At 34.0% G+C, this 25,429-nt stretch overlaps 1 protein-coding gene across 3 annotated transcripts in view, besides 1 other annotated feature; it reads right to left on the minus strand.

Annotated features, from left to right (window-relative positions):
* COL5A2 (collagen type V alpha 2 chain) overlaps positions 1 to 25,429 on the minus strand; it is a 409,214-nt gene that overhangs the window by 329,096 nt on the left and 54,689 nt on the right. The gene's annotated exons all lie outside the window — the stretch shown is intronic.
* Positions 18,147 to 18,706: an enhancer, noted in NCBI's record as "OCT4-NANOG hESC enhancer chr2:190243866-190244425 (GRCh37/hg19 assembly coordinates)". NCBI's record gives its function as "activates a minimal SCP1, AML or CMV promoter by ChIP-STARR-seq in naive H9 embryonic stem cells {active_cell/tissue: H9 hESC(naive)}" and the evidence as "EXISTENCE:reporter gene assay evidence [ECO:0000049][PMID:30033119]".

The following is a 25,429-nucleotide window of genomic DNA, read 5'->3' on the forward strand; positions in this document are numbered from 1 at the left end:
TAAGAATTGTTTTGTGACATGCCGTGTGGTCTGTCTATCCTAAAAGATTTTCTGTGTGCTGTTGAGAAATATGTGTACTCAGCAGCTGTTGGATGGAATGTTTTGTAAATGTCTGCTGTTAGGTCCACTTGGTCTAGAGCACAATTTAACTCTGATTTTTTTGTTGGTGTTGATTTTCCCTCTGGACAATCTGTCCATTGTTGAAAGAGGATGTCAAAATCCCCTACTATTACTGTGTTGCAGTCAATCTCTCCTTTTAGGTCTACTAATATTTGTTTTATATATTTGTGTGCTCCAGTGTTGGGTGCATATATATTTATGATTGTTATATCCTCTTGCTGTGCTGACCCCTTCATTATTATATAATGGCCTTCTTTGTCTTTTTTATCATTCTTGACTAAAAGCCTATTTTATCTGATGTTAAGTATAACTCCTGCTGCTCTTTCTTGGTTTCCATTTGCATGGAATATCTTTTTCCATTCCTTCACTTTCCACCTGTGTGTGTCTTCATAGGTGAAGTGATCTTGTAGACAGCATGTAGTTGGGTCTTGTTTTTTTTTAATCTATTTAGTCACTCTATGTCTTTTAATTAGAGAATTTAATCAATTTACATTCAAATTTATTATTGAGAGGTAAAGGTTTACTATTGCCATTTTATTACATGTTTTCTGGTTGTTTTATAGATTCTTTCTTTCTCTTTTCCTCTTTTGCCATATTCCTTTGTGCTTAAGTGATTTTCAGTAATACATTTTGATTCTACACTATTTATTTTGGTATATCTATTATAGGTATTTGCTTCGTGGTTACCATGAGGCTTACAAAAAGCACATTATAACAGGTTATTTTAAACTGATAATGACTTACCTTTGATCACAAAGAAAAGTAACCAAAAAAAATCTCTGCACTTTAATACCATTCTCCCCCACATTTTGACTTACTGATGTTTCCGTTTATATCATTTTATGTTGCCTATCTCTTAGCCAATTGTTACAGTTATTGATTTTAATAATTTTGCCTTTTATTCTTTATACTTAAGACATAGGTGATTTAGTTACCCCAACTAAAGTATTAGAGTATTATAAATTTGTCCGTTTCTTTCTTTTGTAAGGTAATTGCTTTCTTTCATAGGCCAGGATGCATAGAATATATGAAAATGAGAAGACAACAATTTTAAGACTACAAAATTTTACCATCTTGAATCTTTTGAAAAAGCTACCAATCATCTCCACTTACAAAGCTTGAAAAGCAAAAATTTTACCTATATAATTTTTAGACAATCATATAATGGCTTTATAAGGCCACCAGGCTATTAAAGGAGAATGCAGAGTATTGTAGATGCTTCAAACCAATGAAAAGTATTCAACTTACACCTAAAACAGATAAATTATTTTCCCTTTACCCATAATTTATCTTCTAATTTTACCAGCAGCATTCTGTCAGCCCAGTACACTAAAACCACATTGGTAGGAAAATGTCAGTCATGTTTTCTTCTTACATTCTATGAGTTATTAACCAAGAGCACAGCTGGATGATTAACAACTTGTCTTAGTGCAAAATGTTCCAATTGCACCCTGACTGCCAGAATTTTTTTTCATTTTTTATTTATAATTTTCCTGGCAAGCATATTGTTAACTTTACCTCTCTGTAGTTAACTACCAAATGTGAACAATAAGTTATTGAACTTATCAGCTTTCCTATTCTTCCTATTCTTCTAAGCAAGTCTAGTTTCTGCTTAGAGGAAATATTCACTAGAAAGATTTTAACAAATGAAAGAGTAGAACAGAGCAAACAACATAAAATAGAGAAGACAGTCCTTTGAAAAATATTTTAAGATACCAAAATGTCTAATACTGATGAGAATGAAAAGGCATATGATACAAATAAAATTAAGTAAAAAGGGGAAGTAATTAGATATGTAAGTTTTTTTAATTATAAGCCAGTTTTTGGATCAGCTATATGCTAGTAAATTTTAAGATAGAAGATATGCATAAGTTCCTAGACTATAAAATTACAAGTTGACACAAACAGAAATACAGAATTTAAATAGAAGAAAACATACTAAAAAATGTAAATAGTAGTCAAAATAAATAAATATTCAAAATCTATAAAATGACAATTTTTTTCCTCTTCCTTTCCAAAACTAACACCTTTCATTAACTTTTTAAAAAAATTTCTTTCTGCATTGTGTAGGAACTTCAATGCTCTCAAATACAATTAGTAATGGTGAAATCCTTGTCTTCTTGCCCATCTGGAAAGGTAATGCATCTAAAGTTTCTCCATTAAGTATAATACTTGCCAAATGTTTTTAATAGATCACCTTTATCAGGTCCAGGAAGCATATTTCTTATAGGTTTCTGAATTTATAAATTTACAAATGTCTTCTAAACTTTATCAAATCCTTTTTTTCCATTTGTAATTAAAATTATCATATGTTTTTTCTCCTTAATTAATGTGGCAAATTACTATTATTGCTTTTTCGCATGCTAAAGCATCTTCACATTCCTAGGATAAACCCTATTTGATTATGATATATTCTTATTCTTATTTGTATTATTTATCAATTTATTATCAATTTTTTCAACATTATTACTTACGGAAATAATAATTTCAATTTAAATTCAATGAATTCACCCACCTAGAAAAGTATGGTACTAACAGCCTCTTAATACTAATAAGAGATTTCAGAAAGATTATCAAATAACAGATCAACTTCCTCTTCATTACCATCTCTCCCAAGTCATGAGTGGCATTGGAATCTGGCAAGAGGAAGTGGAATTGATGATTCATTTAGTTTGAGTTTCATGGAGTAGATCTAAAGTTCACAGTCACTCCCACATAGACTGAAGTGATTGCTAGCCTTCTCATAATAGGAATGACTTCCATGAATCCTGCTATAACCCACCGTGTTGACCCACCTGTCATGTAGACACAAAGGCATAGGCAGACTGTCTTACACTGGGGAAATATGTTCATACAGGAAGGGAAACAAGGTCTTAAATGTAGAAAACCAGAAATTAGTCTAAGGAAAATTCTTCCAGTCATCATATCTAAAAAACGCAAGCAATGAATCCAGCCTCACCTGTGCCTAGTCAAAAGAGAAGTAATCTGTCAGGAACACATGCAATAATGCAATTAATGCAGTTATTACATGAACACACATGTTCTTCTTTCTGAATTTTGTGAAATAGTATTTATCAGAATGTCCAGGTTTCTTGGACAAAAATCTGTAGCTGCACTACTAAGAGTATATCTGCTTGTGATACTATGTGTTCTCTGCATTCCAATTATCAGTAAGAAATTATTTTGATTAACTATACAAGAGAAAGACTGAATTACCTTCTGACTCTCCCTACATATAGAATATAACAAAAATTTCTACACTTGAATAGGTGATTAAGAAGTATATAGCAAGGTTGGGCCCGGTGGCTCACGCCTCTAATCCCAGCACTTTGGGAGACCCAGTCGGGTAAATTACCTGAGGACAGGAGTTCAAAACCAGCCTGGCCAACATGGTGAAACCCCGTCTCTACTAAAAATATAAAAATTAGCCAGGCGTGGTGGTGGGCACCTGTCATTCCAGCTACTCGGAAGGCTGAGGCAGGAGAATCGCAAGAATCCAGGTGGAGGTTGCAGTAAATAGAGATTGTGCCACTGCACTCCAGCATGGGCGACAGAGCAAGACTCTGTCTCAGAAAAAAAAAAAAAGTATGTAGCAACTTCCAGTCTCAGCTGTGACACATAAAGAACTTGAAAATTCTAATAGAAGTGCATTCTGCAAAATACTTGACCAGTATTCCTCAAAACTGCCAACGTCATCAAAAATAGAGTCTGAGAACAGAAAAAGACTTCAGGTAAAAACTAAGGAAATCTGAATAAACTATGAACCTTAGTTAATAATATTGTATCAATATTGATTCATTAACACAAAAAGTGACAAATGTACTATGTTAATAATAGGGCAATCTGGGTCTTAACTTCTCCGTAAATCTGAAACTTTTAAAAAGTGAAATCTATTTTTTAAAGTATGTAGCCAAAGAATATAAGAAAAAATATAGAGGGATATAAGATAGTATCAAATACTTTTTTCTAAATCATGTGATGTCTTTGGAATTTTTCAGCCAATCTGTAATTTGTTATAATTTTATTTCTCAGTTTAAATATTCACTTTCATCATTAATTCTATATAAGCAGTTTATATTCCATTTGTTTTAAAAGGGCTGCCAAAATTATATGAGCTTCAGACACCACCCTAGCTTTAAGTCATGGTTAGTTATTCGCAGTTGCTTTCTACTCACTGAATACTCCTCATGCCTCTATATTTTTGCATGTTGAAATTTTCTCTAATTTTCAAGGTAAGTCCATCTTGAATGACAGAGACAATTTATCCAAAAACAATGAACTCAGTATTGTAAAACCTGGATTGTCTTCCTAAATCAAGCCTTGCTCAGTACTAGCACCAACTTTACGGAGACACTTAACTTCTTCCTATGAAGAATCTCAGTTCTGCCACTTGTCAGTTCTATGGCCTTGGCTAGCTGTTTAACACATTAGTGCCTTAATTTGCTCATCTGTAAAATGGAGACAATAACACTGGGCAAGGATAGGGTTATCTTATGGCTGCACTGGGGCAGCTCTGTGCTTATCTCCATGGATGCCTGGAAGTCTGTTACTGACCCTTGGTCAAAACAAGAATGGGAAGTAATAGCTAGTGATTTAGAACATGTCATTTAAAGTTCAAAACTCCCCTGGAGGCACTCCATATTATCTTGTCTACATTATTTAGGATATATGGATTGATGGTTTGCATCTGGTTTAACTTGTTACACAGCTTGGCTGTAGCAAAGTGACCAGTAAAGGTGAAAAAGGCCCTTCAGTAAACCTGCATTTGAACTATGCTGAACTTAGACACCCCACACATATCTGAAAAGTGCATAATCCAAAGATGAAATGTCTCATGTGCAACTGAGAAAAGACCTTGACAGGTCTGCAGTGGGTGTTTTCAGACATCCTATGATTGCCTACACTTTCCTTCTCCTCATGTCCTATATTATTTGCAATCATTACAGCCTTACATGAGTGTACCCTGTGGAGTCTTGAGAGTTCTTTTATTTTGAGATCTTGTATAGCACCATCAAAAGGCCCTTGTAAGGATTAATTGAGCTAAGAAATGTAAAGCACTTAGCACACTGCCTTACCAGTAATAAGCGTTCCATAAATGACAGCCATGATTATTCATATTTTCCCTCTTTCCAATAAGGTCCAGCCCCCACCCCATTAATGACAACATTGAGATGGAATTAATTGCTTCCATGAACTATTATTATCTGTAGCAGTGGTTCTCAACAAAGAGCTATTTTGCCCCTCAGGGGACAATTGGCAATGTCTGAAGACATTTTTGGTTGTCACAACTGGGAGAAAGGTACCATTGACATCTGGTAATTACAGACCAAGAAAGCTGCTAAACACCACCCCAGGACAGCCTCTCACAACAAAAAATTATTTAGCGCAAAAAGTCAATAGTGCCAAGGTGGAGAACACTGGTCCAAGTCACTCTTATTGTTTATCTTAATTACCATCACATTCCTCAAGCACCAGGCATAGATCCCCGCAGGTGCGTGCATGTGTGCATGTGGGTGTGCTTGTGGGTGTGCTTGTATTCAGTAAAAGTCAAACCTATAAGATGGCCTGAAAATTTCTCCTGCCTAGCCAAAGAACTACCTCTCTTTATGGCAAGCTGACTGAAGAAGGGCCTCTTCCTTTTGCTGTTGCTGCTTACCACAAGTGTTAGCTACATGCAGGGAATCAAAGAATGAGAACTTTGTGCTACAATATCAGCTCTTCTGGAGGTTTGTGCGTCTTCCCAATTATATCATTGTCACGACTTTCTCAAATCAGGCGAGAAATGCTTGTCCACTCTCTGGTCTTTCTTTCATCCCTAGAATGAGATTGTGCATCCTCCACCAGAAACTCTCCCGAAGGCTGTAAGTGTTGGCAGACGATCTCATTTTATTTCTATCCAATGCCTGCAAAGTGAATCTAGCGCATAGGAAAACAACTGTGGCAACCACATACTCAGAAATTCTCCCTCACTCTTGCTCCTCACAGAAAACTACGTAAGACTATATTCCAATGACATTCTGGAGGTCATTTTTATTTTTTCCCAGAGTATGTTCATAACACTTTACACAACCCATACCCTAGGAGTATATCTGATATTTTCCTTTTAAGGTGACCAACTGCCCGAATTGGCCCAGGACTTTCTCAGGTTGAGTATTGATAATCCCATGTTCTCAGAAACCCCTCTGCCCCAGACAAACTATGATAGTCAGTCCCTCAACTCTTACTCAAGTGCTTCTTAGCATGTAAAACAGCTACATTTTAATAAATGTTGTGATAAAGCAAAATTCCACATATTGACTTCCATGTTTTATTGAACGTAATTACTACATTGGAGTGGTTCTCCAGGACATTCTTTCTCCCAGATCGACTACACTACTATTGCCTTTATATGGCCAGTGCTGTCAAAGCACAACACTGAGGTCACTCACACTAAGAAGCCACTTTCCACATTATTTACACAGTGGATAGGACAGAATCCAGAGCTTTACCTAAACAGCTTCTTCCCCAGAGCTTAGCTCCAAGACAAGCATCTTATTCAACATAAATAACAACTGAAACACTCTATCTACTGTCACAACTACTAGTAATCCAACCCATCACTCTAATTTATATTTCCAGTATCAAGTCCTTCAGATGTGTGTAATTCATCTTCATGTGACAGCAGAAAGAATTCATATTGCCTGCCATGGGCCTTCATTACTGAAAATATTACTACAAATATTTTAAATTATATTTCTATTATAATTGTAATTACATTATTACTGAAAATAAGCAGCCATCTGTTTTTATGGCAGTCTTTACTTGGATAGGTCCCATTTTTAAGCAATCTAGATTTTAATGGATTTTAGCTTTTAAGTCAAACATCTTCATTTATAACAGATTTATTTTCCAACTCTTCTACCTTCAAATGCCTTACAATAGCCCCACCCTTATCCCCATTTTTATTATATAAACATATAACAAATAATTGTGTTTCTTTTCTCTTGTTTCTCAGCAATCCTGTGAATTAGCTAGCTCAGTTATTGTTATTCTCATTTTAATTTTTATAGACGAGCAAACTTATTTGACATCAAAACAGAAAAAGATAAGTTCCCTTTGAGAATGTATAACTGTGTTATTGTATTTGCAGTCTAGAAACATACCTTAAATTCATAGTGTTTCATTCAATCCCTCTGAGTTATTTCAGTATCTCATTTGCTATGATAACATCATTAATAAAAACCATCCACATCACCAGCCACTGGCTGATCCAACTTCAAGTGCTGATACACCTCACACTGCACAACATACATCGGATAGTAAATGTTAAGAAAAATCACTGGTTTTCCAAGGGGGAAAAAAAAACACTAGAATTCATCACAAATGAAGATCGATTCACATTTAAGCAAATACCAAAATTATTCAGCAGTTGAATTCCTGTTAATATACTTTCCTTCATGCATTACCTAACACTGAAGTCAACATCTCTAATGTAAGATAATTTTTAAAAGTCTACTATATTAAATCACCAGTAGAATGCATTCATTAGATAAAGTTAACTGTAGTATTAACATAACTTGATACAAAATAGCAGTCTTTGTACAACATAAATGGTGAAAGGAACTGGATGAGTTTATACCAAAGGAAAGTCCTTAATTCTTTTGCCACAGCCAAGACTTTCTCCTTTCCTAATGAATGATTCGGATTTCTACACCCTACCCATTCTGTAGGTACACAGTAAATCAGTTGAACCATGTACTATATAGTTAACTCGGCCTATTCAGGTGATCATAAAGAAAAAAGGAAAAGCTTGTTTCTTGAGAAGTTCCATCCTTCTAAATTTACTTCCTCACTAATGAACAGAGGTCACCTATCTACTACAATACAGTAAACAGAAGTGATTTCATTTGTGCCATGAGAATGTGTCCTGCTTCAGCTGCTTACAAGCAAATAATAACACTAAATGTTTGTTTTGTCTAGACAACACATTAAATTCAAAACATGGCTTCAAATAAAATAAAACATGAAATATATAAGCATTTGTAACTAACTGGAAGAAGAAAGTTACTGTGACTTACCAAAGATTTAAGTTAGAGCATGTATCACTAATACTGAAAAATCATATTATAAATGTATGTTTTGAACTAGTCTTACCTAATTTTGAAGACTGTCAAGTTTTTTTTATTAATATCACTACCCTCCAACAATCTTAAAGTATATTTTGTCTGACATTAATACAGCTATGCCAAATTTCTTTTAGTTTGCATTTGATTATTATTTTTTATCTTTTTATGCTTAAACTTTCTGTATCCCTATGCCTCAGATATCTATTTTGTATGTAGAATATAGATAATTTCATTTTTGCTTTATTTTTCAATCTGCTAATCTCTATCTTTTAACTGAGGGAGTTTGATACATTCGTTTTCATTGAGATTATTCAAACTCCTGAAAGTTTTTTGAATATCTATATATTCTGAATTTTATATTAATTGTTAACTTTTGTGTGTATTACCTATGAATTTTGATTATTATAGTAGAAGGACATTTGTACTGATAAAATTGAGAGCCAGTATTCTACGATAATGTGACTAAATAAACTCTTGAGTCATTTCTAAGAAAATTACATAATTCCAAAACAAACATTCCAAATATATTTGTAATAGCTTCATGGGCAAAAGATGAGTTTTGCTTTGACTATGTTTTCCAACAATGGTTGGTTGGTTTGTGTTAGTTTTCCGATTGCATGATGAGGTCTAGCAGGTCACACGACTGAACTTCAGTATGCACTCAATTCTTCCTCATGTATTGATTAAAGACCATAAACCTCATGTGTCAAGACACTGTATCAGCTTTACCCATAAATTTATTGGGCAGGTAATAATAACAAAAGTTAATGCATATAGCACATACTGTATGCCAGGCATTGTTCTATGTGCTTTACATTTTTTGACTCATTAATACTCCCAGCAAGTCTGTTATGCTGCCACAATGGACACCAAATGACTCCCTGTTGCATTTAATTTTCTCCGTCATCTCATCTCTACCTCTAATTGTACTTTTTTCTCTCTCCATTGTCTTTTTTCTGGCTTTAGGAATGGGTGGTGTGGTAAAGCTGAAAGAGCAATGAGTTATGAAGTCTAAGAAATGCATTTCAAATCCAATTTCTAGTATCACTTGATGGCTTGGCAACCTTGAACAAGTTCCTATTCCCCTCATCTGCAGAACAACAATAAAAATATCTATTTCATAGAGTCATTATAAGAATAAAATAATGTGTGAAAAGAGGTGTTCAATGTGTTTTATTTCTCTCCTCATCATCACATTAATAGTGTAAAGTCAACAGAATTATATAAACTTGTCATAACAGCAACATAAACTTTTGATATATAATTTCAACAAGTCATTTTCAGAGATGTCATCTCTGGCTGTCACATTATCTAAAATAAAACACACACACACAATCACACTCAACACATAAAGCCACACACAACACGTGACACAGAAAATGTATAACCACATACAATCATACTCAACACCCATACAACATGCACATACAACACATACAACATACATAGATAATAAACAATCTTCTTCTATAAACACATATACTCACATACATAATTTCATAGGCCCAAAACGTATTTTATTTCCTTTATAGGATTTATTCAGTATCTGAAATTATACAATTGACTGACTGACTTATTAAATACCAATGCTCACAGGAACAGAAACATTAATGGAAAGGGAAAGTGACACAGCTAGCTAGTATGTGCTAAAAAAAAGGCTAAGTCTGACAGGATGTGATACATTATGGAAATTTGTCTCCTCCAAATTTCGTGTTGAAATGTAGTCCTCAATGTTGGAGGTGGGGCCTGGTGGGAAGTGTTTGGATCATGGGTGCAGATTCCTCATGAATGGTTTAACACCATCCCCTTGGTGATAAGTGAGTTCTCCCTCGAATAGTTCCTGTGAGTTCTGCTTGTTTAAAAGAGCATGGCACCTCCCCCTTCCCCACATCTCTTGCTTTTGCTATGAGATGTGCCTGCTCCCCCTTTGCCTTCCACCATGATTGTAAGCTTCCTGAGACCTCACCAGGAGCAGATGCTAGTGCCATGCTTCCTGTAAAGCCTACAGAACTGTCAGCCAAATAAACTTCTTTTCTTTATAAATTATCCCGTCAGGTATTCCTTTGTAGCAACGCAAAAACTGACTAACATGGAAAATTTCTACCAAGAAGTGGGGCATTGCTATAAAGATGGTAATGTGGAACTGGCTTTGGAACTGGGTAATAGGCAGAAGTTGGAAGAGTTTTGAGGTCTCAGAAAAAGATAGATAAGGGAAGTTTGGAACTTCTTAGAGAAGTGTTAAGTGATTCTGACCAAGTGTTGATAGAAATATAGACAGTGGAGGCTAGGCTGAGAAGGTCTCAGATGGAAGTAAGAAATTTATTGGGAACTGGAGTCAAGGTCACCCATGTTATGCCCTAGCAAAGAGTTTGGCAACACTGTGTTTATGTCCTGGGAATCTGTGGAAGTTTAAGCTTAAGAATGATGACTTGGGGTATCTGGCGGAAGTAATTTCTAAGTAACAAAGCATTCAGTGTGTGGCCTAGCTGCTTCTAATAGCCTAAAATCAGTTACAGGAGCAAAGAAGTGACTTATAGTTAGAACTTATATTTAAAAGGGAAGCAGATTGTAAAAGTTTGAAATATTTGTAGCCTGGCTATGTGGCAGAAAAATAAAAACCATTTTCAGGATTGGAATACAAGCATGTTATAAAGCAACCACTTGCTAGAAAGATTAACATGACTAAAATGGAGCCAAGAGCTAATAGCCAAGATAATGGGGAAAAGGCCTTGAAGATATTTCAGAGATCTTAGAGACAGCCCTTACCATCACAGGTCAAGAGGCCAAGGAATAAAGAATGTTTTCAGGGGCCAGGCCCAGGGCCCCATTGCCCTGCACAGCCTGAAGACACTGCTCCCCACATCCCAGTTGCTCCAGCTCCAGCTGCAGCTCAAAGGGCCCCACATACAGCTCAAGCCACTGCTCAAGAGGGTGCAAGCCTCTAAAATAGAAATTCCTAATCCTGCTCCACAGAAATGGTATCAGAATTAAATTAATGGATAGAAAATATGGGAAAACACTTAGAACAGAGACAAGTACTCAATATATATTTATAGAGACTTACTTACATTTAGAATTCTCTAAGACCAGTAGTACCGGATGATCATTATAGTACAAATTTTAGCCACTCAAAGTACTTGCTTTCAATTCAGTAGAACATTTAGTATTAGTTCCATAATTAAGTAAAATTTGTATCATTATAAATAGTTAAAATCCATTTACAGACATATATCAAGCTCATTATGTTCAGTTTTTTAAACTGTCTAATATTCTATAATGGCATACTTTATATACATATAAAACATTAAAAATAAAGAAGTTCATCTCTCATTGTTTATGTTTAAATACATATTTAAGTTCTGGAATCATATTTTAAAATATGTAAAAAGCTATAAATGGTAACATTTCTGCAAGTGGACTAGCAGGAGGATTTTTTACTTTTAATTTTAAGCCCTTATGTATTGTTTAAGGATTTTACAAACAGCATATATAACTCACATACTTAATCAAAATAGCATGTATTTTTCCAAAAATACAGTCATTATAAAGTGGAATATATCCTTTTTCTGATGAAGCATTTTTAATAGTAGGTATATTTAAAAAAATACATTTTGAAGGACAAGAGTTGACTTGTTAAGTCATTACATCATCTTCTGTTTGTAGGCTTTTATTATACTCACACAAACAAGCTTTATTTTGAATACTTTCATGAACTCACACCTCTCTCATCCGAAGCTAAGACTGTTCCAAAAGTTGAATTTTGCAAGCCAGTCAATTAGTAGCAAATGCAATGACTTCATATTTTGGGAAAGTTGACATATTTTTAAAAACTTTTTTTCCATATGCTACACTTGGCACTAACTTCAAAATGCTCCAGATTGTTCTGGATCATTTCATGGCAAAATTCATTTCTGTATTACCTCATTTTCTTCCCCAAAGGATGCCTTTTTTCTGTTCAAGTTAAGTAGACATTAATATCTCAGCAGGGAAAATATGACTCTTGTAATTTTTATAATACCCTTTTCAGTCCCAAATATTAGAGTGGTATTACAGTTACTGCTCTATAACTATACAAGATTCCTTTAAGTTTAGTTCAGTTCAACAAATATTTATTGATCATCTTATATGCCACAAACTAGGGTAATTTTTAGAGTTACAAAATTAGCTCAGTGTTTAAATGTTCTGCTGTTCAAATATTCATCAACCAAAGGGGAAAAAGATATCTAAAGAGAATTTCAATATGACCCCTGAGGGTCAAGAACCCACAACGGAGGGGAACCTCTCTGGTTTCTATTTTTCAAAATAAGCATGCACTCTTCCACTCAAATTTATATTTTTGTCTTATAGGTTCCTACTAGGTAAAGTCACTTTGTACCTTTTTTGTACCAGGCTTTCTATATAGCTGTAAATAATCAGACTCTGAATAATATTCTGTGAATAACAATAATTAGTGTCTGGAAAAAAATATGGCAAGGACATATACTTTGGGTCTCACAATATGTGAAACTAAATCCAGTATGAGAAACTTAGATCCTAAGAGAGCAAAAATGAATGCAGCTGACAGAAAGAAGAGTGGAGATAAAGAATGAGGAAAAGGAGAGAAAATGAGTCGGTTCTATAATTCTTCTCTCCTATAAGCAAAGACATCTGCAATCCAGGAAATGCCTTTAATCTCCCATGTAACTAAGGTCATAGCTTTGCTTTCACGTACCTATTTTGAACTATTTGTCTAAAGCAGTGGGACAATGTGCTCTTGACTGTTGCTGTGAAAACACACAACATGAGAAGAACTTAACCTTGAAATTGAGTCCATTTTTGAAGGAAAAAATGTCTTATGGGGGAATAGAAAGCAGTCTGCATGAACCTTACCTGGGAAAGCAGCCATAAAACACAGTGTTGGTTCAAAGGACAGTTGTGACTTAGAAAAAATATTTTACTATAAAAATATTATAGTAGGAAAAATTAAATGACACATAGTGCATGAGTGATGAGGCATGGAGTAAGGCACAGGTTTCTCTAAATACTGAATTAATTATTGTTTTTTGCATATCTTTTTCTTTACTAAAAGCAATTTCAAAGGTTAGATATCCTTTTTTTTTTTGAGGGAGAAATATTCAGATTCCTATAGTTTCTAAAGTCTCTGTGACCCAATTTTACCCTTTTGTTAGTTTTGAGATCACTATTAACAACAAATCAACCACGGCCTCAAAATAATTTTAATTACTTTCACTTATCATACTTAAAGAGATGACTGCTAGAGGACTAATTTCATTAAAAAAACTGAAAAGCCACATTTACAAAATGTGTGTTGCATGAATGCATTGCTTAAAAAATTATCAAAGATCTACTTTTTACTCAGTATTATATATGGGGCACAAAATGAAAGCACAGGTGGAATCTTCAAAGATTTTCTACAAAGAATTTTTTATGTCATGACTTAAAAGTGAAAGCATCTCCATCTAAAATTCTTTTCAGGTGAATATACTGTTGCATCTTACTGTAACATGTATTCTCTAACTTGAAAGTATGCCTTCAGGTTAAAGGAAATCTGAGCTAAAGATTCTATGAATGAACAAATAAATATAAATGGATAGAAATCATCACTCTATAATTGTTTACATATTTTCCTTTCACACTATGGATCTCTTTAAAAATACTTTCTAAACAAAGAAGAATGAAGCACCTTTATCTTCAACAAAGTTAACAGGAAATATGACCATATAGGAGATTTAGTTGTCAAAATATGCCCTCATAATGTAAATCTGAACAAAATGTTAAATCGAATATTTATATTTTTATATCTTTTTTTTTTTTTTGAGATGGAGTCTCGCTCTGTCACCCAGGCTGAAGTGCCATGGCACAATCTCAGCTCACTGAAACCTCCAGCTCCCAGGTTCAAGTGATTCTCCTGCCTCAGCCTCCTGAGTAGTTGGGATTACAGGTGTGCGCCACAAAGCCTGGCTAATTTTTTTGTATTTTTAGTAGAGATGGGGTTTCACCATGTTGGTCAGGCTGGTCTCGAGCTCCTGACCTCGTGATCCGCCCACCTCGGCCTCCCAAACTGCTGGGATTACAGGCATGAGTCACCACACCCAGCCTATATTTTTATTTCTAAACCAATGTAATTTACCAAATAGCATTACTTCATAAATATATTTTGCTAGCTAGCTTAGAGATCCTATCTTTGATTTGTTGAATGAGGTACAGACTATAGTTTATTGATTTTATGGATTCTGTTTTCTCATCTTCACAATGGGGACAATGGCTGCTTCTGTCAGGTAATATGATGACAGTGTTTTGTCATAAATTGTACAGTTTCTCAATGTTTAAACTCTTTCAGAGATAATGTTATTTCTCAAGTTTGTCAAATTAGGATAATAGAAGAGTTTTCCAGGTACAGTATTATCTATCTTTAGAGTACACGTATAGGTCTGGAGGAATATCATGCTTAATTGATTCAAGATTTTTGCAAGATAGATCCAAAGTGGTTAATAAGAAATACAACTTAATAAAAATAATGATATTTGAAAATAATTATTTAGACATCTGGAATTCAGAAGAAAGTGAGTAAAAAGGAAAAAATTAGTTTTATTATGTATAACCCTTTATATTAGCATGTTAACAAAGTTCCAAGATTAGCAGAGATCAGAATAGTGGAAAGAAATCTCCAACTCTTGCTGGGGAAGCTTTTGACTCAGCCCACACTTCAACTTGGCTCTCATTCTTCTTGTCCTCTACAGGGAAAATGAGATCTTTTTGCCCTTTTCTGTCTTTCTGCCATGCATGGTGACTTAGAATGTTAATGTAGCTTTTCCACAATGTGTGTAAGCAAACACTGTCTTTGTGGCCTCAGGAAAATATGACACCTTGTTTTATTATGTGGCTCTGTTATTGAATACTTGTGCATTAAATTTTAAAAATTCTTTTAAAAAATACTTAAAATTTTTGCATATTGCACTGTTTGTTAATACTGGTATTTGAACACTTTCTAAGATCTTGCATTTTAAGTTCTGCCTCTCTTTATCTACATATCCTTTTATTGCCTCACTATCAATAATGAAAAACTGATGTATTTATTCCATCACCAAGTACATTTATGTCTTTCATAGTTAACTCTGCATGAGATTTAAGTAGATGGGGCCAGACTACTTCAGTTAACTAATTTCCTACCATATTCTTGATATGTTTGAAAAAAAAAGATAAAAATATACTTGTAGGATAAACAGTGAATTTTGACTTCTCTCCCAAAGTACATAACCTAGATTAGAAAAATGTGGCTTCAATTACAATTGCTAATTATTGTAGCATTCTTTCCCTCTGCACCCAGGTACAGAGTCTTTTTCAAGTAATGTTCAAGGTAACAACTACTGCTCTTTAACTGTTGGCACAGGAATATAAATGTATTTGTATTCCCTAATATAGAAAGGTTTGTACAATTTTGAATTTATATTATCTATGCAGTTGTAAGAATCCTATAATTAGTAGTTCTCAGTTTAAGTGGACAAAATATTGAAATAAATATTTTACCTTTCCCTTGGTAATCATTGACACAGGCAAAGCACTTATATCCACCTGAATTATTTAGAAGTAATAAGCAGTTTTCCATAAGGCCAGACAAAGGCACTATGTTCCACTTTGCAAATTATGTAAAGTTCCAATCCCAGGAACTAGAGACTAGGCAGGAAAAAAATGCTGAATTTTTAAAATAAATAGCAGCTGCTATTATTTTGTTAGAATTATAAAATATATTTAATATATTGTTACCAATTACGTGCATGAGTGATCTGTAACTAAGGCTCATATGATCTTACAGGACAAAGTCCAAATACCTGAAAATAATCAAGGCCCTTTATAATCTGATCCCAACTTTTCTGCTTCATCTTTACTTTCTACCTTGCTTCCACCAAAATGTAAGTTAAATTATAGCCTGCAGTTCCTGCAGAACCGTACCCAGGCATGGTATGGCTTGTCACATTCCCAGACATTTGAAAGTCACTCCCCACCCCACTGCCTTCAGTGCCCTTCCCTTCTCTGCTTTACAATTCCTACATATTTGTTAAGACCCAGGTCAAAATCAGCTCTCTGAAGCCTTCTCTAAACTTGGACAAGCTCAAACATTTCACGCCTGTATTACTGGAGCACTTTGTACAGACCTACATTATACCGGGTAATGATAATCACTGGATAATCATATGACTATTAATCTCCCATAAACTAGATACATGGTCCTCAAAGACAGGAATTCATGGTGCTTTCATGTTTGTGTTTCCAGTTTCTTGAATAGTACTTACACAAAATAGAAGCTCAATAAAAACATTTTGAATGAATAAATGTTTGAATAAATCATACACTAACCTAAAGTAAATTTGAGTTATAACCAAGACCTCTTCTTAAGTCCACACTAATCTCCCTACTCCATTATCAAATGGTTTTTACTTTTTTTGCAGATCCACCAAAAGTGACAATCTTGCAACTTCTGTATTCACCCATCCCAATCCCTCCACTTTCTCCTCCTTCACCTAGAGGAAGTTATGAATATAAAACTGAGAGATTTAGGGTAAAAAGAATCATGCATCACAGAATAGACACGTTACAAGCATGATTATTTGTTTCTCCTTGCGAACCAATTATTTGTTTCTTCTTGCGAACCAATTATTGAATAATTTGTATTGAATAAATGAACTGGAATGTTCTGAGGGACCCAAAGTGCACTTATTGGGTCACAGCTGACCCGTTTTTAAGGGTATAAATAGCACCCTACAGCTGAGAAAATTCCTTATAAGAGTTACCTAACTTAAACTTGGAGAGCAACGAGCTGCTTGTAATTTATTATAAAAGAAGTTCTCATCTTTTGTTGGGATTCTCTCTCTTCCCTAAAGAATGTATACACTTTAATCATTGTAATAAGAGAAATCTTCCCTTCATTTACTCCTCCATGGCCAATTCCAACGGTGATTTCTTTTTTAATGCATATCTATTATATCTTAACTGTTTACATTAAGGATATGAGGCAGTTTAGACAACAACAAAAACGCATATAATAAAATATAATTAGAAATAGAAAATAGTTGTCATAGAATAGATAAGGTAAATACATAATTTGTAAGAGCAACATAGATGCCATCATTTAGCTTAAATTCTGACTTTAAGTTCCCTGAAAAACAAGGTAAAAATGAAGGCTAAAATGAGTCATCTAATTCTCACTGTTTAAAAAGGAGAAAAGCGGCCGGGCGCGGTGGCTCACGCCTGTAATCCCAGCACTTTGGGAGGCCGAGGCGGGAGGATCATGAGGTCAAGAGATCGAGACCATCATGGCTAACACGGTGAAACCCCGTCTCTACTAAAAATACAAAAAATTAGCCGGGCATGGTGGTGGGTGCCTGTGGTCCCAGCTACTCGGGAGGCTGAGGCAGCAGAATGGCGTGAACCCAGGAGGCGGAGCTTGCAGTGAGCAGAGATCACGCCACTGCACTCTAGCCTGGGCGACAGTGCGAGACTCCGTCTCAACAAAAAAAAAAAAAAAAGGAGAAATGCTGACATTGCAGATACTAAGAAAAGCTAAGATTTTTCTGACTCCAGATTTTAAAAGAAAATTCTCATTGTAACTTTGTATATGAAATATGAGATACTAAGTAATTAGTAAATTTTACCCTCAACAATTATGTTTATAATATTTGCTGGAAAATCTTATGACTATTATTTATTTTATTATATGATACAGGCTTATTATTAAAATTCAGTGAAGATGATTATACATCAGGTCAAGTTATTACGGTCTTTTTGGTCTAATTTCTTCCAAAGACCACTGTTAGAGTAGCTGGGAAAGTAGTTCTAAATTCTATGTGAGCTATGAACCCTTCTAAGAATCTTTTGAATACTACAGACCTCTCAGCACAAAAATGCACCGGCATACTAGCTTTGTATACAATTTCAGGAAGCTCATTCATCCCTTGAAGCCCATCCATATGTCCTAAAGGACCAGAGTATAGATGGATTACACAGTCTTTAAATTTGCAGGCTTAACACTTTTGATTTAAAAAAAATGAGGAGTAAATGATTCAAGGCTGTAGTTTTACTGAAATTCCTAAAATATTTCTTCTGAATGACTCTGTGAACCCACAGGGCAAAATTCCTTTTCTCATGCTAAAAGTATACTTAACTGCTGAGACAATGTCACTTTTGCTTTCCATAGGCATTTTTTACGGCTGGATGAAAGGGTATCCTTAGGTGCTGATTGCTAAACTGACAGGTCATAAAACTGACATCTCATTATCAAAGGCCACAGAGAGGCAGGGTGCAGAGGTACCTAAGGCAAAACAAAATTTTCTTCAAAGAGATACTCGAGATACTCAGCTCAAGACATGTTAGTGGAGTGTTTTGTATGTCCTTTACACTTTGTGTACATTATTTCATTTACAATAAATTAGTCATTATCACACTATAAATATGAAGCAACCAAGGCTCAGAGACATTAAATAACTTGCTCAACTTTTCATAGTTAGTAACAAAGCTAAATTTCAATCTGAGATATATAACTCCAAGCTCGTGGTCTTTCTAGCACACACTGTTTTGATTTGGGAAACTCTACATTCTAAGAGACTCCTTTCATAACTCTGCTCAGAAAGAAGGTAAATAAGATGAGGGTTTTTTGTTAAGATTTAAACATTGGCATTAGGTTAAGGGTATTCCCTGAATGGACTCTCCCATCTACTTCCCTAGTAGTTATGTAGTCATTTATTTAACCAGACTTGTCCAATATGCACTGGTTGTTTGTGGGTTTTAGAATATATAACTCCTCTTAAAGGGAGTGAAATATTTTATATATATATATATATCTCAGCAGTTAAAAATGCTGTTTGTATAAGTAATTACCATTATTGTAGTGAATTTTGCTTGTGGGCAAAAAGTCAGAAATATACACATAAAATATTTTAGGAATGTCAAAGATGAATGGAATGGGATAATAATAGGCTCTATCTAGGGAAGGTAGATGAGATATTCCAGAACCCACTAGGATGAAATAAAGCATCTAATCTCCCTTATTTGGGATGTACTTAAGTTCAAAATTGTCACACATAAAGTTTTTCTTTTCCTTTAAAATATCTAAAAGAATAACAACAGTAAAATGTTTTAAGCTAAAATATTTTAAGCTAAGAGTAAAGATAATAGAAAAAGTTATAAAAATGTAAAGCTAAAATCAAAATTAAAATATCACTGTAAAATGATCAAAAAATGAGAAAAAATAATAAAAACAGATTTGCCTGTTGGGTCCCAATATTTTTAATGAAAGGCAAATGATGTGTTCCATCTTAAAACATAGTTAATTATTTAAAAACCTCTAGTACAAATAAGTAATTAATATAGATATAGTTATAATTTATACATGTATTTATGCTGTTCAATTATTTTTCTGTAAAAAATATAAAAATTTTTTTAAAAGAATGATAGACCAAAGAATCCACCCATTCACGGAGAAAATAAAATAAGTCATATACAGGGGCAAAAAAATTAAGCTAGCCTCAGACATCACACCAACAATCTTTAGTACCAGAAAATAATAGAACAGTATCTACAAAATTCTTCTTGGAATATAATCCAAGTATTTTACAACATTTTAAAATTTGTAATTTGTAGAAATTTTGAATTTGTAGAAATTCAAAAACTCAGAGAATATAATATCTCTGAGTACTTACTGACAATGAAATTCAGCCATCAAATATGTGAATGAAAACAAGGAACTGAAGAATGAAGAAGCTGTGATAAAAAGACTGGTAGAGAAAATGAAATTCATTTAAATGTAAAGCCAAAACTAAACCGTGGGAATTACAGCTATAGAACTAAATGGTAATGTTATAAAAGCTGAAAAGTAAACATTATATTACATTGAGTAAAAAACGGAAACAAAGAAATGGGTGGATGAAGGAAGAGTACTCACTTCGTCACCTTTCACAGCAGAAATCAGTCAATAGGGTATAAAATTGAAACATAAACTTAAAACTTTTTACCATTTCTCATCTTTTTTAAATGCAGAAAGCTTTTAGGAAGACTATCTCTGATGAAGAAACATCTATCAGAAGCTTAAAAAAATCTTTCATTTTCCTTTTCTTTTGTTAAATTCCAGCAAATTTAAATTTATTACTTTTAATGTAAAATGTATATTTAGATTGCAATTTTTATGCACTGTTTCCAATCATCCATAGCTGTATTCCTATCTTTATAGATGCATTAAGCAATGTCTGGAAAGATGTTCTATATTATATTAATTTTTTTTCTGGGTGATTGGGCATGGAAGGAAGATACTTTGTTCTCTTGTACATTTCTTAATTGTTTAAATGTTGATAAAGAGGGTTATTATTTCTATGAAAAATAATAATTCTACAACATTCTACTTAAAATCATGGAAGTATCACAAAAGAGGGTAGTAGGTAGATAATCTTGAAAATAATAAATACTTGCGGTATGTTATGCATTCTTTTTTATATGGAAAGATTGTGCAGTAATTTTAGAAGAAAAATTAAATTTAAAAAGTGAAATAAAATTGTATTTCTTCTATCACTTAAAGCTGTAAGCTGACATCTCAAGTTAACTTTCCTAACTCAAACATCCTTTAAACAGAATTCAAAAATCAGATTATAGATAGAAAATAGTATTATAATATAAACTTTATTTTTAGTAAAAGTTATTTGAAAAATAGCCCTTTATTATTGTGTCATTAGATAATTAAATTAGACAATATAAATTATTTACTTTCAGATTGTTTCTTAGAAAGCATGTTTGTTGAAATTCAATAAAATAAAGAAGGTATTATGTAATAATTTCCTGCTGTTGTTGAATATTTTTCCATATCCATTAAACTTACAACTTGAATAAATGACTACTCAACAATTAATATTTCTAACAACTTAAACTGTTCATTTTAATAAGCTAAACAACTCACATGCTAACTTTTGTCAGGGCAGCAATAAATAAAAGGTGATATACAGCTCAGTGTTTCTATGTTGAAGCTAAAGAATTCCTCTTTAAGACAATTAAAAATATTGAGGTGGAAGGATCACCCGAGCCCGGGGAGGTCAAGGCTGCAATGAGCCATGATCATGCCGCTACACTCCAGCCTGGGTGACAGAGTAAGACCTTGTCTCAAAAAATAAAATAAAATAAAAATTAATTTTTAAAATAAAGATTTTTTAAAGACAAAAGTAAATGAAATTATAGCAAGTGTTTATTCAAGTAGTTAAAGATCAAGATATTAAAATCCCACCTTTGTCATATAGTTAATTCTATTTATGGAAGTTTTTCTAATTTCTATTTATAGGTGATTATAAGTCATATAGAAAAAAGTTTCTGGTTCTTGTATAATTATCTTCTATTCAGCTGTTACGCACGTCCATATAAGAGACCACCTGAGCAGGCTTAGTGTGAGCAACAAGGCTATTTATTCACCTGGGTGCAAGTGGGCTGAGTCTGGGAAAAGAGTCAGCAAAGGGTGGTGGGATTATCATTGGTTCTTATAGGTTTGGGATAGGTGGTGGAGTCAGGAGCAATTTTTTCAATTTTTTGCAGGTAGGGGATGGATGTTACAAAGTACATTCTCAAAGACAGGGAGGATGTTACAAAGAACATTCACAAGGGTGGGGAGAGTGTATTGTCACAGGGCAGGGAGGATGTTACATAGTACATTCACAAGGGCAGGGAGGGTGTATTGTCACAAGGACAGGGAGGAATGTTACAAAGTACATTCACAAGGAATATCACAAAGTATATTATCACAAGGGTAGGGAATGTCACCATGGCTTGACCATGGTGAGGCCAGCTCAGAGGACCTTACATCAGCCATTTAACCAAATTCTCTTGCTACAAACAATTTGTACATTTTTACTAACATAAGTATGTCACAGGTTTCTGTATTACAGTAGTTTTTGCTTAGGCTGACATAACGAAATACCACAGAATGGGTGGCTTAAATAACAGAAATTTTCTTTCTCACAGTTCTAAAGGCTGTAAGTCCAAGATGACGGTGCCAGATGCATTGGTCTCTCCTGAGGCCTCTGTCTTTGGCTTGCAGGATAGCCACCTTCTCACTGTGTTCTCACAAGTTCTTTCCTTTGTGTGCACTCTTCACTGGTGTTTCCTCCTCATTTTATAATGGCATCAGCCACACCAGATTAGGATTTCACCTTTAATGTCCCTATTTAATTTTAATTACCACTTTAACGACCCCATCTCTAAATACAGTAAACTTGGGTGTCAAGGCTTCAACGTATGAATTAAGTAGGACATAATTCAGTCCATAATAGGTTCTAAAAATACTAAGATAATATAGACAAGAAAAGAAAATTATTTTATGTTTCCTTTTCCATTATTTTAGGTGTTATTTCATTTGTATTAGTGTTTTTTATTTTTATTTTTATGGATATATAATAGTTGCACAGTATTTATGGGGTACATGTGAGTTTTTAATAATAAGCATACAATGTGTAATGATCAAATCAGGATATTTATTATATATATCACCTCAAACATTTGTTATTTTTTGTGTTAGGAACGTTCTAATTCCACTTTCCTAGTTATTTTGAAACATATAATAAATTATTGGTAACTATCGTTGCCCTATTGCACTACCAAACACTATAACCTATTCCTTCTAACTATATTTTTGTACTCATTAACTAAACACTCTTTATCCAACCCTCCCCCCATTCACCTTTCCTATCCTCTGGTAACCATCATTCTACTCTTTATTTCCATGAGATCATTTTTTTAGCTCCCACGTATGAGTGAGAACATGCAATATTTTTCTTGCCATACCTGGCTTATTTTTTTTAACATAATGCTCTCCATTTCCATTCATGTTTTTGCAAATGACAGGATTTTATTATTTATATGGCTGAATAATATTCCATTGTATATATCTACCATGTTTTCTTTATCCCTTCATCCACTGACGGGCACTTAGATTGATTTTATATCTCGGCTACTGTGAATAGTGCTATAATAAACATGAGAGTTCAGATACCTCTTTGATACCTATTTCCTTTCTTTTGGATGTATACTCAGCAGTAGGATTGCTGGATCATAGGGTAGTTCTATTTTTAATTTTTTTAGAAACCTCCATACTATTTTCTGTAATGGCTATACTAATTTATATTCTCACTAATAGTGTATAAGGATTCCCATTTCTCCACATCCTCAGCAGAATCTGTCATCTTCCGTCTTTTTGATAAAAGCCATTTTAACTAGGATGAGATAATATCTGAATGTAGTTTTGATGTGCACTTCTCTGATGATTAGTGATGATGAGCACTTTTTAATATACCTGTTGGCCATATGTCTTCTTTTGAGATAGGCCTACGCAGATCTTTCCCTCATTTTATAATCAGGTATTTTTTTGCTATTGAATTGTTTGAGCTTCTTATATATTCTGGTTATTAATCTCTTTTCAGAGGGATAGTTTGCAAATATTTTCTCCCATTCTGAGAGTTGTCTCTTCAATTTGTTGATTGTTTCCTTTGCTGTGGAGTATCCTTGTAGCTTGATGTGATCCCATTTGTCCATTTTTGCTTTTGTTGCCTGTGCTTTTGAGGTCTTACTCAAGAAATCGTTGCATAAACCAATGTTCTGTATTTTAAGGAACTTTCAAAATCATGTTGAATAATATTGAGTACTAATCATTTCCCTATTCTTTATCATTATAATGGAAATGTCTAAATTCATATTAAACATCCATCATTTAGGATAATATTTGCTATTTATTTCTGATAATCTTTTTTAAGCAGCATTCTAGTATTCATATTTTCTTTAGACTTTTTATTAATAGCATTTTTTACTCAAGGCTTTTCAGTGTCTATTCATATATTGTTTTCTCCTTTAATTGATAAATATAATGAACTAAGTTCACAGATTTCTTATATTGAACTAACCTCACCAATCAGGCAAGAGAAAGAAAGAAAAGGCATCCCAATAAGAAAAGAAGGAGTTAGACTGATGATATGATTCTATACTCAGAAAACTCTACAGACCCTGCCACAAGATTCCTAGAACTGATAAATGACTTCAGCAAAGTTTGAGAATGCCAAATCAATGTACAAAACTCAACAGTATTTTTATACACCAATAACATTCTAGCTGAGAGCCAAATCAAGAATACAATCCTATTTATAAAAGACACGTACAAAAAAACCTAGGAACACATCTAACAAATGGGGTGAAAGATCACTACAAAGAAAACTACAAAACACTGCTGAAAGAAACCAGAGGCAGCACAAATAAATGGGAAAATATTCCATGCTCATGGATTGAGAAGAATCAATATCATTAAAATTGCCATACTCCACAAAGCAATGTACAGATTCAATGCTATTCCTATCAAATTACCAATGCCATTTTTCACAGAATTAGAAAAAAACATCCAAAAATTCATACAGAATCGAAAAAAAAACCAGCCTGAATAGCCAAATCAATCCTAAGCAAAAGAACAAAGCCAGAGGCATCACATTACCTGACTTCAAACTAACCAAAGGTTGTGGTAACCAAAACAGCATGGTACAGGTACAAAACCAGACACAGAGACCAATGGAACAGAATAGAAAACTCAGAAATAAAGCTGCACAATAAGTACCAGGTAGACAAAAATAAGTTTATTCATCTGTTCTCATGATGCTAATAAAGACATACCTGAGACTGGGTAATTTATAAAGGAAGAGATTTAACTGACTCACAGTTCCACATGGCTGGGGAGGCCTCACAATCATGGCAGAAGGTGAATGAGGAGCAACTCATGTCTTACATGGTGGCAGGCAAGAGAGCTTGTGCAGGGGAACTCCCATTTATAAAATAATCAGATCCCATGAGATTTATTCACTACCATAAGAACAGTATGGAGGAAACTGTCCCTATGTTTCAATTATCTCCACCTGGCCCTGCCCTTGACATGTGGGGATTATCATAATTCAAGGTGAGATTTGGGTGGGGACACAGCCAAACTTATATCAATAAGCAATATCAATAAGAAAAAGACCCCCTAATCAATAAATGGTGCAGGAATAACTGGCTACCCATATGCAGAAGAATGAAACTGGACCCCTGCCTATCACCATATACAAAAATTAACTCAAGATGAATTAAAGACTTAAATGTAAGATCTAAAACTATAAAAATCCTAGGGAAAGAAAAGCTAGGAAATACCCTTCTTGATATTGGCATTGGCA

Source organism: Homo sapiens, chromosome 2 (assembly GCF_000001405.40).
Source record: "Homo sapiens chromosome 2, GRCh38.p14 Primary Assembly".
Taxonomy (NCBI): Eukaryota; Metazoa; Chordata; class Mammalia; order Primates; family Hominidae; genus Homo; species Homo sapiens.